At 41.6% G+C, this 12,217-nt stretch overlaps 1 protein-coding gene across 10 annotated transcripts in view; it reads right to left on the bottom strand.

Moving 5' to 3' along the window:
- Positions 1-523: 523 nt before the first annotated feature.
- MTDH (metadherin) overlaps positions 524-12,217 on the bottom strand; it is an 86,077-nt gene continuing 74,383 nt past the window's right edge. For 6 of the 10 annotated variants that reach the window (NM_001363137.1, NM_178812.4, NM_001363138.1 and 3 more), the window contains 3 exons: positions 11,595-11,735; positions 7,749-7,905; positions 524-6,184 (listed from right to left, as the gene is read on the bottom strand). In NM_001363137.1, the coding sequence (NP_001350066.1) occupies positions 6,114-6,184; positions 7,749-7,905; positions 11,595-11,735 (369 nt within the window). In that variant the 3' untranslated portion in view covers positions 524-6,113. The remainder of the gene's footprint in view (positions 6,185-7,748; positions 7,906-11,594; positions 11,736-12,217) is intronic. The other 4 variants (XM_011517369.4, XM_011517370.4, XM_017013968.3 and 1 more) reach the window with 1 other exon arrangement.

Raw genomic sequence — 12,217 nt, 5'->3', positions numbered from 1 at the left:
AATAGCTGTTTGCCATAAGACCTCCTTTGGTGTCTGTCAAGAGTCTCCAGCCCCACAACAAACCTCAGAGGAACCCTCACTCTAAGTGCCTATAGGGCACTTGCTGCTTTTCTGAGTGGGGCAAAGCTGTCTAGAAGTGACATCTATCTTGTGATCTATCCCCCTTCCTCAGGGAAAGGCTGCCATGTAGAGTTGTGCACTATACAAATTGGGGCACCATTCACATTCATAGTCATTGTGCCCCTGTGTACTTATTAAAACAATTTCCCAAGGTATCATGAAATGTCTTGAGGGAGGAGTGGCAATGAAGTTGCCATTAAACCTTTCTGAGATCAGGCTAGATGTTTCCTGGGACTGCAAGCCTCAGTTGGTACCAAAAAGGGCCTGTGCCAGGTGAGGCACTTGAGAACAGTCATTTTCACCCAAGCCTTTCCCCCTCTAATCCTGTTACAAGTCAAGCTGGTTCCCAGTATCCCCTTGTAACACTGTATTTCTTGAGTAATGTTATATTTCTTGAGCAGAATGGTGGTTTCAGATGTGTTCATTTTATTATGCTTTTAAAACTTAGGTACATGTTACATATATTCATTTTAAATGCCTTGATACAAATAAAAAAGGAAAGCACATATATACAAATAAGAATGCCACTATCATGGGATAACTTTGAACCTGCTTAAAGTTTTCTCAATTAACGTATTCACAAGCTTCAGTACTGTAACTATTAGCTGGCAAATGTCTTACAACACACTATATACATGTCATGATGCTAGGGTTAGAAATCATCGTCCTGTTAGAGTACTTAGACCAGAACAATAGTAATGCCTTTTTCATGTTTTAAAATATTATATACCAGGGTGATTCTCTTTCAACTTGTTATATAGTCTGTACTTGCAGTATGCGCAGGCAGGCTACTAAGTTTCTCTCAGCCTCTGTCTCTAGAATTTAAAGCAGTCACTGAGTGGCAGAAATTTCTTCTAAAATCTATTATATATAGACTGGGCACAGTGGTTCATGCCTGTAATCCCAGCATTTAGGAGGCTGAGTCAGGAGGATTGCTTGAACCCAGGAATTGGAGACCAGCCTGGGCAACGAGACTCTGTCTCTAGAAAAAAACAAAAAACAAAAAGCAAACTATCATATAGAAGTTGGAACATTATTAGCTGCTACACTAAGCAGCACTGAATAGCCTTCCAAATTTCTGCTCAGCTGGAAGAACACTTGATCTCAAAAATGCTTTGGTGCAGGAGATACACAATGTATGTCAACTCTGACAGACACTGTTAGAGGTGCCCATTATCCAATTCTCATCTTCCTAACAGAATCTCAAAATGTTAATTTGGCCCATGACAACCCAGATAGAATATTACGTCCCATCCAGCTTCATGGCTAGTGGGACCAAGCAACTGTTTGAAATTGAAGTTTATGTATTGTGTGTAACTTCCAAGAAGTGTTCTTGGGGGTGGGGGAGGTAATGCCCTCTACCAGCTGGCTCAGATGCCGATAGGAAGTTTCTAGCTAGAGCAGCTGTCTTCAAGTAAGAACTGAAAGCCACATGTTGGCCAGGTGTGGTGGCTCACACCTGTAACACCAGCACTTTGGGAGGCCAAGGCAGGAGGATCACTTAAGCCCTGGACTTCAAGGCCAGCCTGGGCAACATAGCAATGACCTCATCTCTACCAAAAAAAAAAAAAAAAAATTTAGCCAGGCATGGTGGTGTGTACCTGTAGTCCCAGGTACTCTGGAGGCTGAGGCTAAAGTGGGAGAATATAGCTCGAGCCCGGGAGTTCCAGGCTGAAGTGAGCCAGAAGTGTGCCACTGCACTCCAGCCTGGGCAACAGAGTGAGACCCTATCTCATTAAAAGAAAAAAAAAAAAAGCTACAGGTTGAGAATGGGGAGGAACAATATAGAAAGAACCCGGATCCCTGACCCTGCATAATGTCATATGGGCTCTGGATTGCCTTCCCAAACTTTAATATGAAAGAGAAACAATCTTTTTTTTGTTTCTAATTTTTTTTTTTTTTTTTTGTCGAGATGGGGGTCTCTCTATTGCTCAGGATGGTTTCAAACTCCTGGGCTCAAACAATCCTCCCGCGTTGGCCTCCCAAAGAGCTTGGATTACAGGCATGAGCCACCATGCCCAGCTGAGAAGCAAACTTCTATCTTGTACAAGCAATTGCTGTTTGGGGACACAGCCAACCTCATACATATGAACTAATGCATGCCAAGTTTTAATTTCCTTAACTGAAAAGGCTGATGCAAATGACATATTGCACCTGGTGGCAGGCAGCTACATCTACTGCTAAAATGACATAAGATAGAAGAAGTTTTCTGTAGAGAACATTGTGTGTCACAAACAGTGACATTTTCAAAAGTGCTTAATTCAATATGACTTCCCAGCGGCAAAGCTTGCACCTATGGTTTTAGGAAAACAACAACAAAAAGTTTAGTCTAGCTTAAGATGCAAAATGACTGACAAAGTCCCTCCCCACAAGAGAACTGTAACGAGCAATTTAAACAAATCAAAAATGGTTTGTTTTATTTACAATACTCAATGCATCTTATGAGTAACATATTTGCATTCCCTAAGTCTTTTGGAAAGTAATTCCAGTTTGTGCAGTGAGTTTACAGGAAAATCTTAAAGATATCTAGTAGACATCTTAAACCTAAACTCTAAATTTTGAAAGATATTTCACACTATATTAATAGAGGACTGTTTTTAATTAAGAAAAACTAAACTCTGTAAATATTGCCCTCCAGTATCTTTAATGCAAATATAAACCAGATTAGCCTATGAAATAAGACCACTAGATTTGGGTGAATTATTCTGACCTCCCCTCCCCAATAAAATGCATGCATAAAGTAAACATGGTAAATTACATCAATCACATTTTAATACTTTTTTTTTTGGACTCTCTCAACTGTTGTTTGCTCAATTGTCGGTACAGATAGGTAGGATTCCAGTCTGGAGAAACCCCTAAACCACTACACCCTGCCTCAGAGTAGGGAAGAATTTTCAGTATGTATGTGGAGACAGGCTGGATTAGGGAGCCTTTTGAGTGGCTTCTCTAGGATACCTTTCTTGCTAACATGAGCAAGGTTCCCCTCCAGGCCTGATAAAGCCTGAAGAGGTTAGTTATTTCCCTACTAGTTCTGGAAGCATCTTATTCATGCCACCATAGGAGGCTGTCTTCCCCTGCTCCTCCCTGAATCACCACCTAGATTTTAGTGCTTTCTGAGTTGATGATGGAAACCAGTTCCTGTTCAGGTGCCAGAAACTTTTTTTTTTTTGAGATTGAGTCTCGCTCTTTCATGCTGGAGTGCAGTGGTGCGATCTCAGCTCACTGCAACCTCCACCCCCCGGGTTCAAGCGATTCTCTGCCTCAACCTCCTGAGTAGCTGGGATTACAGGCGCCCACTACCACACCCATCTACTTTTTGCAAATTTTGTAGAGATGGGGTTTCACCATATTGGCCAGGCTGGTCTCAAACTCCTGACCTCAGGTGATCCACCTGCCTCAGCCTCCCAAAGTGCTAGGATTACAGGCGTGAGCCACCGTGCCAGAAACTGTTTTTATGTCACATAAAGATCTATGAAACAAGGTAAAAGGTAATTAAAATACTTTGTGACAGAGTTTGCACCTCATGCATGTGAAAGAGAATGTAATTAATTTTATCATTTATATAGCTGCCATCTTTTTTTTTTTTTTGAGACGGAGTCTCCTTCTGTTGCCCAGGCTGGAGTGCAGTGGCACGATCTTGGCTTTGCAAACTCCGTCTCCTGGGTTCAAATGATTCTCTGCCTTAGCCTCCTGAGTAGCTGGGATTACAGGAGCCCACCACCACACCCAGCTAATTTTTTTTTTTGTATTTTTAGTAAAGATGGGGTTTCACCCTCTTGGCCAGGCTGGTCTTGAACTCCTGACCTCGTGATCCACCTGCCTCGGCCTCCCAAAGTGCTGGGATTACAGACGTGAGCCACTGCACCCGGCCAGCTGCCATCTCTTAAAACAAAATCCAAGTCCTAGCTCTTGAGCCATAAAGAAGAAATAGAGGTATCTCTATACTGGATCCACCTCAACTTAGCAACGCATCTCTGCATCTCCACAATGCCATTCTCCTCAAAACATCTGCTGTCTTTAACATCTGGCATAGGTGGTAGAATGGGGAGATACTAGGCTGCAGAAATAAAATCCAACGTTTGACAAAGCCAACAGAATTTTGAGATAAAGAAATGGTGAGGTAGAGTTGAGAGAGTTCAATTATATTGTTGAGCACAGACCATTTGGCACATTCTAAAATTAGATTCCCTATCAACTTCTCCTTTGTGGTACCTTTACAAAATGCTGACACCTTAGGAATCCTCCAACACCTATGTAAAGCTAACAGAATAAAGTCATTTGAAGAAATTCATCCTTGGCTCTTTAGCTATTATCTACCCCCATATTGAAGCAAATAAAAAACAATGCTATCCATTTGCTGAATTTATTTAAACAAGTCAATTTAGAAATACCATAGAATTAAACAAAACTTCTGACATGTAAACATACTGCCATGTTCCTGAAACAGATGTTAACACCTGATAAAAGTTAATAATCTCTTGTTAGGAAAGCTGTCCATTAATAAGGCCAGTCTTCAGCAAAACTAAAACCATTTTGTTCGTTTAGCTTTCCTAGTCTGACAACGCAATACTGTTGAACCACAGTCAAATATAATGACAACATTGGATGGATAGATCAGTACCATTGGTTACAGCTGTTAAACAGGTTCGTTCTTGGCGCCACATAAAAACAAGCCAATCACATCGAATAAATCATGGCTTTTTTTTCTTTATCACAATTCACTAAGTGATGTTAATTATGGTCCTTGTCAAACACGTTTGGTAAAGGCTATTTACAGTGTACATGGCTGAGCATGCACTATTTATAGTTACAAAGATACCTGCCAGTTTATTACAATAGAATTACACAGTGCCTGAAAATGGTGAAACATCTCACACATCATTTAAATCAATATAATTTCAAGCAGGAAACGTTCCTTATTTGACCACAATTGCAATAATTACATGAAAATTCTTATAAAAACATGAATCTCCTTCAAGAAATTGATGCATATTCTACGCACTACAGGTTAAGGCAGTAAAAAAATGTATTCCTGATAACTGGAGGTGTTGACAATGTCAATTAAAGCTGTCTGACTCTAGTTTTTCATTCTCCATCATATACCAAAAGTTTGTGAATGATTTCATTTTTAAAGTCAACAAAGTATTAGTAACTAAGAAGAGTTGAAGCTGGAAAAAAGTAATTGCTAGGGAAGGGAAAAATGTAAATTGGATTTTGCCTGAAAGTTTTCAAATCATAAACAATAGCATTATTTATGAGTCTAAGCCTTAAATGTATAAAACAAATACATATAGTTCACTTTTCTTAATTTAAAATATACTGTACTTTGAACAATTCAAGTAATGTAAGACTATCAAAAATAACTTCATAAGCCATACACAAGTGTCAACTGCATTTTCAGTATTTTAAGAACTTTTTAAAAATTGTAAACTAAACCATGACAGTTTAGTTAAACAAATGATAAATGACTTTTTATTTGCACTTGTGATTTCTTTAATACAAATTGCTACCAACAAATATGTAAAGATATGGCAGGTTATGCATTTGATCAAAGCACTTTGATTTAAGCATAAAACAGATTCAAATGGTACAAGTTCTGTGCATAAGATCCAAGGAATTGCTTACTAATCTGTAGGCAACCCTCTTTCTAATCAGAATCCTTTATTCCTCGGCTGCAGATGAGATAGGGCACAATCTGTTGTAAACAGGGCACTGTTGTTAAACCAGGATAATATTCTTAAATTAAGATCGTTCTTGTTCTATTAAAAAGACTTTCCCAAGTGTCTTCCATCACTGAGTATATTCTGCTGACCTCTTAATTTCATAAATTAACTTTCTTTTGATTCCATTTTTATGGTGGTGTCCGCAGTTTTGTTTTAAAAATTGGTTTAAATTTATATAAAACTCTGTACATGTTCACAAATTATTGCATAAACAGCATAATCTTCAAGACAAGTGTTTGCAAACACATGTCCAATTCAGGAAAAAAAATTTCACGTTTCTCGTCTGGCTTTTTTCTTCTTTTTTATTTGTTTGGGAGATTCCCAGCTAGTTTCAGACTTGGCTAAAAAAGAAAAGGGGGAAAACGAAGAAAAAAATTAGGAGGATGGTAAATACTGTTACGTCTCAATAATATAAAAGTAGTAACTATGAAACAATGTTTTAAAATACTCAAATTTTATGTTTAAGTTTTCAAGCCCTCGTTATATATTTTAAGTTATTCTATGTCTTCTTCCCTCCTTTCCTTTCAATGGTATTATTAGGTTGAACTATATGGAACTGCTGATATTCAACCAGTTTTGACCCAAAAAAACTGTTATTTAATATGGCTCAACCTAACTAATAAAAGAGAAAAATGGGTAAAATGGATACTAAAGGTAGCTGAAGAGAGTAAAGGAGGAAAAAAAGCATAGAATAATTTGTAGCCTCAAGAACATGTGCAGAGAAAAAGGGAGAGGGACCACATAGACAAGCAGGCAGGCATGAAAGTTCTCCCTCTCTGTTCTCAGCAATGTATTCTCTCCTTCAGAGATAGATAGATAGATTGATCATTTATTTATTGAGTCTTGCTCTGTCACCCAGGCTGGAGTGCAATGGCGCAATCTTGGCTCACTACAACCTCCGCCTCCCGCGTTCAAGCGATTCTCCTGCCTCAGCCTCCCGAGTAGCTGCGATTACAGATGTTCGGCCAGCACACCCAGCTAATTTTTGTATTTTTAGTAGAGACGGGGTTTCGCCATGTTGGCCACGCTGGTCTTGAACTTCTGACTTCAAGTGATCCACCCGCCTCAGCCTCCCAAAGTGCTCGGATTACAGGTGTGAGGCACGGCACCCAGCCTCCTTTAGTTATTTTAACAACTTGGCCTTCACAACTTAAGTAGACAAACGTCCAAAAAATTTAGCATTTTCTCTTTTTTTTTTGAGACAGAGTCTTGCTCTGTCGCCCAGGTTGGAGTGCAGTGGCATGATCTCGGCTCACTGCAAGCTCCGCCTCCCGGGTTCACGCCATTCTCCTGCCTCAGCCTCCCGAGTAGCTGGGACTACAGGTGCCTGCCACCACGCCCGGCTAATCTGTTGTATTTTTAGTAGAGACGGGGTTTCACCATGTTAGCCAGGATGGTCTCGATCTCCTGACCTAGTGATCCGCCCGCCTCAGCCTCTCAAAGTGCTGGGATTACAGGCGTGAGCCACCGCACCCGGCAGAATTTAGCATTTTCAAAGGAAGAAAGGGCTACTCTTATTAATCCATTAGACGTTTTTTTTTTTGAGACGGAGTCTCGCTCTGTTGCCCAGGCTGGAGTGCAGTGGCACGATTTTGGCTCACTGCAAGCTCTGCCTCCCGGGTTCACGCCATTCTCCTGCCTCAGCCTCCCGAGTAGCTGGGACTACAGGCACCCGCCGCCACACCTGGCTAATTTTTTGTATTTTTAGTAGAGACGGGGTTTCACCATGTTAGCCAGGATGGTCTTGATGTCCTGACCTCGTGATCTGCCCGCCTCGGCCTCCCAAAGTGCTGGGATTACAGGCGTGAGCCACTGCGCCTGGCCTCCATTAGACTTTTAAGATCAGAACCTTAACACATGAAAAATGTAAACAGTACAAAGGAACAAAAAATGAGGATTACTTACTCTGTGAAGGAGGCACACTATTTTGCTTGGTATTTGACTTGGATTTATCTGTCTCTTGTAGTATTGGCGGCACTTGGGAAGAGCTCTTGTCAGAATCACTTTTTGATAAGATTACAGATGGCTCGGTAGAAGTAGCAGGTGGAAGAGTCTTGATAGGCTATTTTAGGAAAAAATCATCTCAGGTTTTTTGGTGAAATTTTCAAATAAAGTTTAAATATCACAGTAATACCAAGAGGTGGTTTAGCAGCAATTCAATACTAATATGGTTTCCAGATAAACAATGTAACTCATACCTGCCCTCTAGTGATACAGCCAAATCAATCATCACCTACAACATTTATGAATATATGTTGAGATAAAAATGAAGGTATGAAATTATAAAATGTCTACTGAATTTCAAATAGAAATGAATAATTTTTCATTAACTTTTTTTTGAGGTGGAGTCTCACTCTGTTGCCCAGGATGGAGTGCAGTGGCACAATCTTGGCTCACTGCAACCTCCGCCTCCCGGGTTCAAACGATTCTCCTGCCTCAGCCTCCTGAGTAGCTGGGACTACAGGCGTGTGCCACCACGCCCAGCTATTTTTTTTGTGTTTTTAGTAGAGACAAGGTTTCACTGTGTTAGCCAGGATGGTCTCGATCTCTTGACTTCGTGATCCGCCTGCCTCAGCCTCCCAAAGTGCTGGGATTACAGGCATGAGCAACCACGCCCGGCCTAACTTTTATATTCTTAAGTTTCATATAAATAAGATGATTTTATGCTTTTCTTTTTTGAGACAGAGTATCGCTCTATGGCCTAGCCTAGAGTGCAGAGGCACAAAACAGCTCACTGCAGCCTTGACCTCCTGGGCTCAAGCAATCCTCCCACTTCAACCTCCTGAGTAGCTGGGATTATAGGCGTGAACCACTGAGACTGGCTGATTTTATACTTGTTAGTGATTCATTGGTTGTTGTCCATTTCCACCAACTCAGAACGCTTCAAAAATTTTTGTGAAAAACAGAAGGAAAATAGCTAACTTCTGAACTACCAGTAGATGACAACTCCTAATCTCCTTCCCAACAGGTAAGAATTTCTCAAATAGCAGCAGCAACAGCTTCTGTTTCCTACAAGCACACTGTGGTTACCAGTCCTACTGACTCAAGCAACTGGTAACACTCAGGTACAAATTTTCAGTGTTTTATCCAGTCTGGTAGTGAAATTGGAATGCTTAAGGCAGAGCCTAGATTCTTGAGCCTTACTTCTCTACAGCCTGGAAGCAGAAAGGAGGTAAACTAACTGATTTGCCTCACTGAAGCATATCCATTAATAAATGATCAGGACCTGGTAATGATAAGAACGTCAGTAATTTGGAGTGCCTTCGGGTTGTGAGAGATGAGTAGATCATTTCACCTATTAGCTCTATCTGTGATCATTATCCTGAACATAGAAAGAAGGGTAAGTAATGCTTCTCTTGCCCCTATTCTTCCAGGGCCCATAGATTCGAGAAAGCAAAATGGGATAAGGATACAAGAGGAAATGGTGTGAGCCCAAGTAATTACTAGGATTCCTTCTTCCTATTCCAGGTATCTGAAGTTGTATTTGTGTGTGTGTGTGTGACAGGGTCTCACTCTGTCACCCAGGCTGGAGTGTAGTGGTGTGATCTTCATTCACTGCAACCTCTGCCTCCTGGGCTCACATGATCCTCCCACCTCAGTCCCCCAAGTACCTGGGACCACAGGTGCACACCACCACATCCAGTTACTTTTTTGTATTTTTGGTAGAGACGGGGGTTTCATCATTCTGCCCAGCTGGTCTTGAACTCCTGAGCTCAAGTGATCTACCCATCTCAACCTCCCAAAGTGCTGGGATTACAGGCGTGAGCCACCATGGCTGGCCCTGAGGTTGTATTTATGTTGCCTAGTTTCTTTACCTTTCTTAGTGTTCCCTGTATTTATTTCATATCCAGAAGTTTTATTGTTACTTATTTTTAATCTCCTTTTCCCCTTTGTTCTCTCACTTATCTACATTAAGTCACAGAACGGATCAAATCTTCTTCATAAGATGGCTTCTGAAAATGATTTAATATAAAAATATCAAACAGAGGCCGGGCGTGGTGGCTCGTGCCTGTAATCCCAGTACTTTGGGAGGCTGAGGCAGGCGGATCACTTGAGGTCAGGAGTTCGAGACTAGCCTGGCCAACAAGGTGAAACCCCATCTCTACTAAAAATATAAAAATTAGCCAGGGGTGGTGGCGTGCACCTGTAATCCCAGCTACTTGGGAGGCTGAGGCAGGAAAATCGCCTGAACCCAGGAGGTAGAGGTTGCAGCGAGCCGAGATTGCGGATTGCGTCACTGCACTCCAGCCTGGGCAATAGAGCAAGACTCTTGTCTCAAAAAAAAAAAAAAAAAGTCAAATAGACCCTTTGCTATTTATTATACACACACACATAAATAAATAAATAAATATATATATATTCTTCTTCACAAAGTCTCACTTTGTCGCCCAGGCTGGAGTGCAGTGGCGCAATTACAGCTCACTGCAGCCTCGACCTCCTGGGCTCAAGTGATCTTCCCACTCAGTCTCCCGAGTAGCTGGGACTACAAGCACACACCACTACACCCAGCTAATTTTTGTGCTTTTTGTAAATACTGAGTCTAGCCATGTTGCCCAGGCTGGTCTCAAACTCCTGGACTCAAGTGATCCTCCTGCCTTGGCCTCCCAAAGTGTTGGGATTACAGGTCTGAGCCACTGCACCTGGTTGCTTATTTATGAGATGGAGTCTCACTTTGTTGCCCAGGCTGGAGTGCAGTGGCGTGATCTTGGCTCACTGCAACCTCTGCCTCCTGGGTTCAAGTGATTCTCCTGCCTCAGCCTCTTGGGTAGCTGGGATTACAGGTGCCTGCCACCACACCTGGCCAATTTTTGTATTTTTAGTAGAGACAGGGTTTCACCATCTTGGCCAGGCTGGTCTCGAACTCCTGACCTTGTGATCCACCCACCTTGGCCTCCCAAAGTGCTGGGATTACAGGCGTGAGCCACCACACCCAGCCCTGAATTTATATGATGTAATTAATTTACCCAATTAGAAATCAGATTTTGTGTCACCAACCTAGGCCTTTTGTAAAATGGTCCCTTCTGCCATACAGATACTTTCCATAGAAGGCACATCATTCAAGAGCCTATAACCAAGTTTTAAACAAATGTTCCATTTTGGGAGGCTGAACCATAGTCATATTATGTACATATATTGGGGGAAAATGAAACCACTCATATTTTCTCTATGTCTAAGCTGTCTATCCCTTGTATGCCTAGATATTTAGCAGGAGAAAATACAGTACAGTGTGGTTCTTGATTTCACTACTGATAGTTATATGACTCTGGGCAAGTTATTCAACTTCTCTAGCTTCATTTATAAAATGCGTCTCACCTTTCTCTCGGGATTGTTTTGAAGACTAAATTAGTCATTATATTTTAAATGCTTAGCACAGTGCTTAAAACATTATTTATGATAAAATACTTGAGTCAACAAAACTTTATTATTCTTTTTTTTTTTTTTTTTTTTGAGACAGTGTCTTGCTCTCTTGCCTAGGCCGGAGTGCAGTGGAGTGATCTCGGCTCACTGCACCCTCCGCCTCTCAGGTTCAAGCGATTCTCCTGCCTCAGCCTCCTAAGTAGCTGGGGTTACAGGCTCCCATCACCGTGCCCGGCTAATTTTTGTATTTTTAGTAGAGACGGGGTTTCACTATGTTGGCCAGGCTGCTCTTGAACTCCTGACCTCATGACCTGCCCACCTTGGCCTCTCAAAGTGCTGGGATTACAGGCGTAAGCCACTGCGCCCGGCAACTTTATTATTCTTAAAAATTACCTGGCTATTTTTGACGAGTACTTCGGCTGGATCACTAGTGCTTATGGTCTTCAAGGAAAAAGCTTTTTCCTGTTTTGGACGGGTTTTAGAGGTATTCACTGGAAGGTCTTCTCTAATCTCTTTTTCTAATTCTTCTGTGTCCTATAGAGAAAAATAACCTATTAGATTATATAAAGCATTCATTCTTCATTAATTAAAATCTATGGTGGTGTATGGCTGTAATCCCAGCACTCTGGGAGGCGGAGGTGGGTGAATTGCTTGAGCTCAGGAATTTGAGACCAGCCTGGGCAACATGGTGAAACCCTGTCTCTACAAAAATACAAAAATTAGTCACATGTGGTGGTGTATACATGTAGTCCCAGTTACTCAGGAGGCTGAGCAGGGAGGACTACTTGAGCCTGAGAGATGGAGGCTGCAGTAGACTGTGATCACACCACTGTACTCCAGGCTGGGTGATTCTGTCTCAAAGAAAAAAAAAAAACCCAAAACTACAAAACTACAAAAATTAGCCAGGCATGGTGGTGCATGCCTTTAATCCCAGCTACTCAGGAGGAGGTATGAGAATTGCTTGAGCCTGGGAGGTGAAGGTTGCAGTGAGCCGAGATCGCACCATTGCACTCCAG

The sequence above is a fragment of the Homo sapiens genome, chromosome 8 (assembly GCF_000001405.40).
Source record: "Homo sapiens chromosome 8, GRCh38.p14 Primary Assembly".
Lineage (NCBI taxonomy): Eukaryota > Metazoa > Chordata > Mammalia > Primates > Hominidae > Homo > Homo sapiens.
The sequence above is the reverse complement of the archived record's forward strand: the minus strand, read 5'-3'. Positions and strand labels throughout refer to the sequence as shown.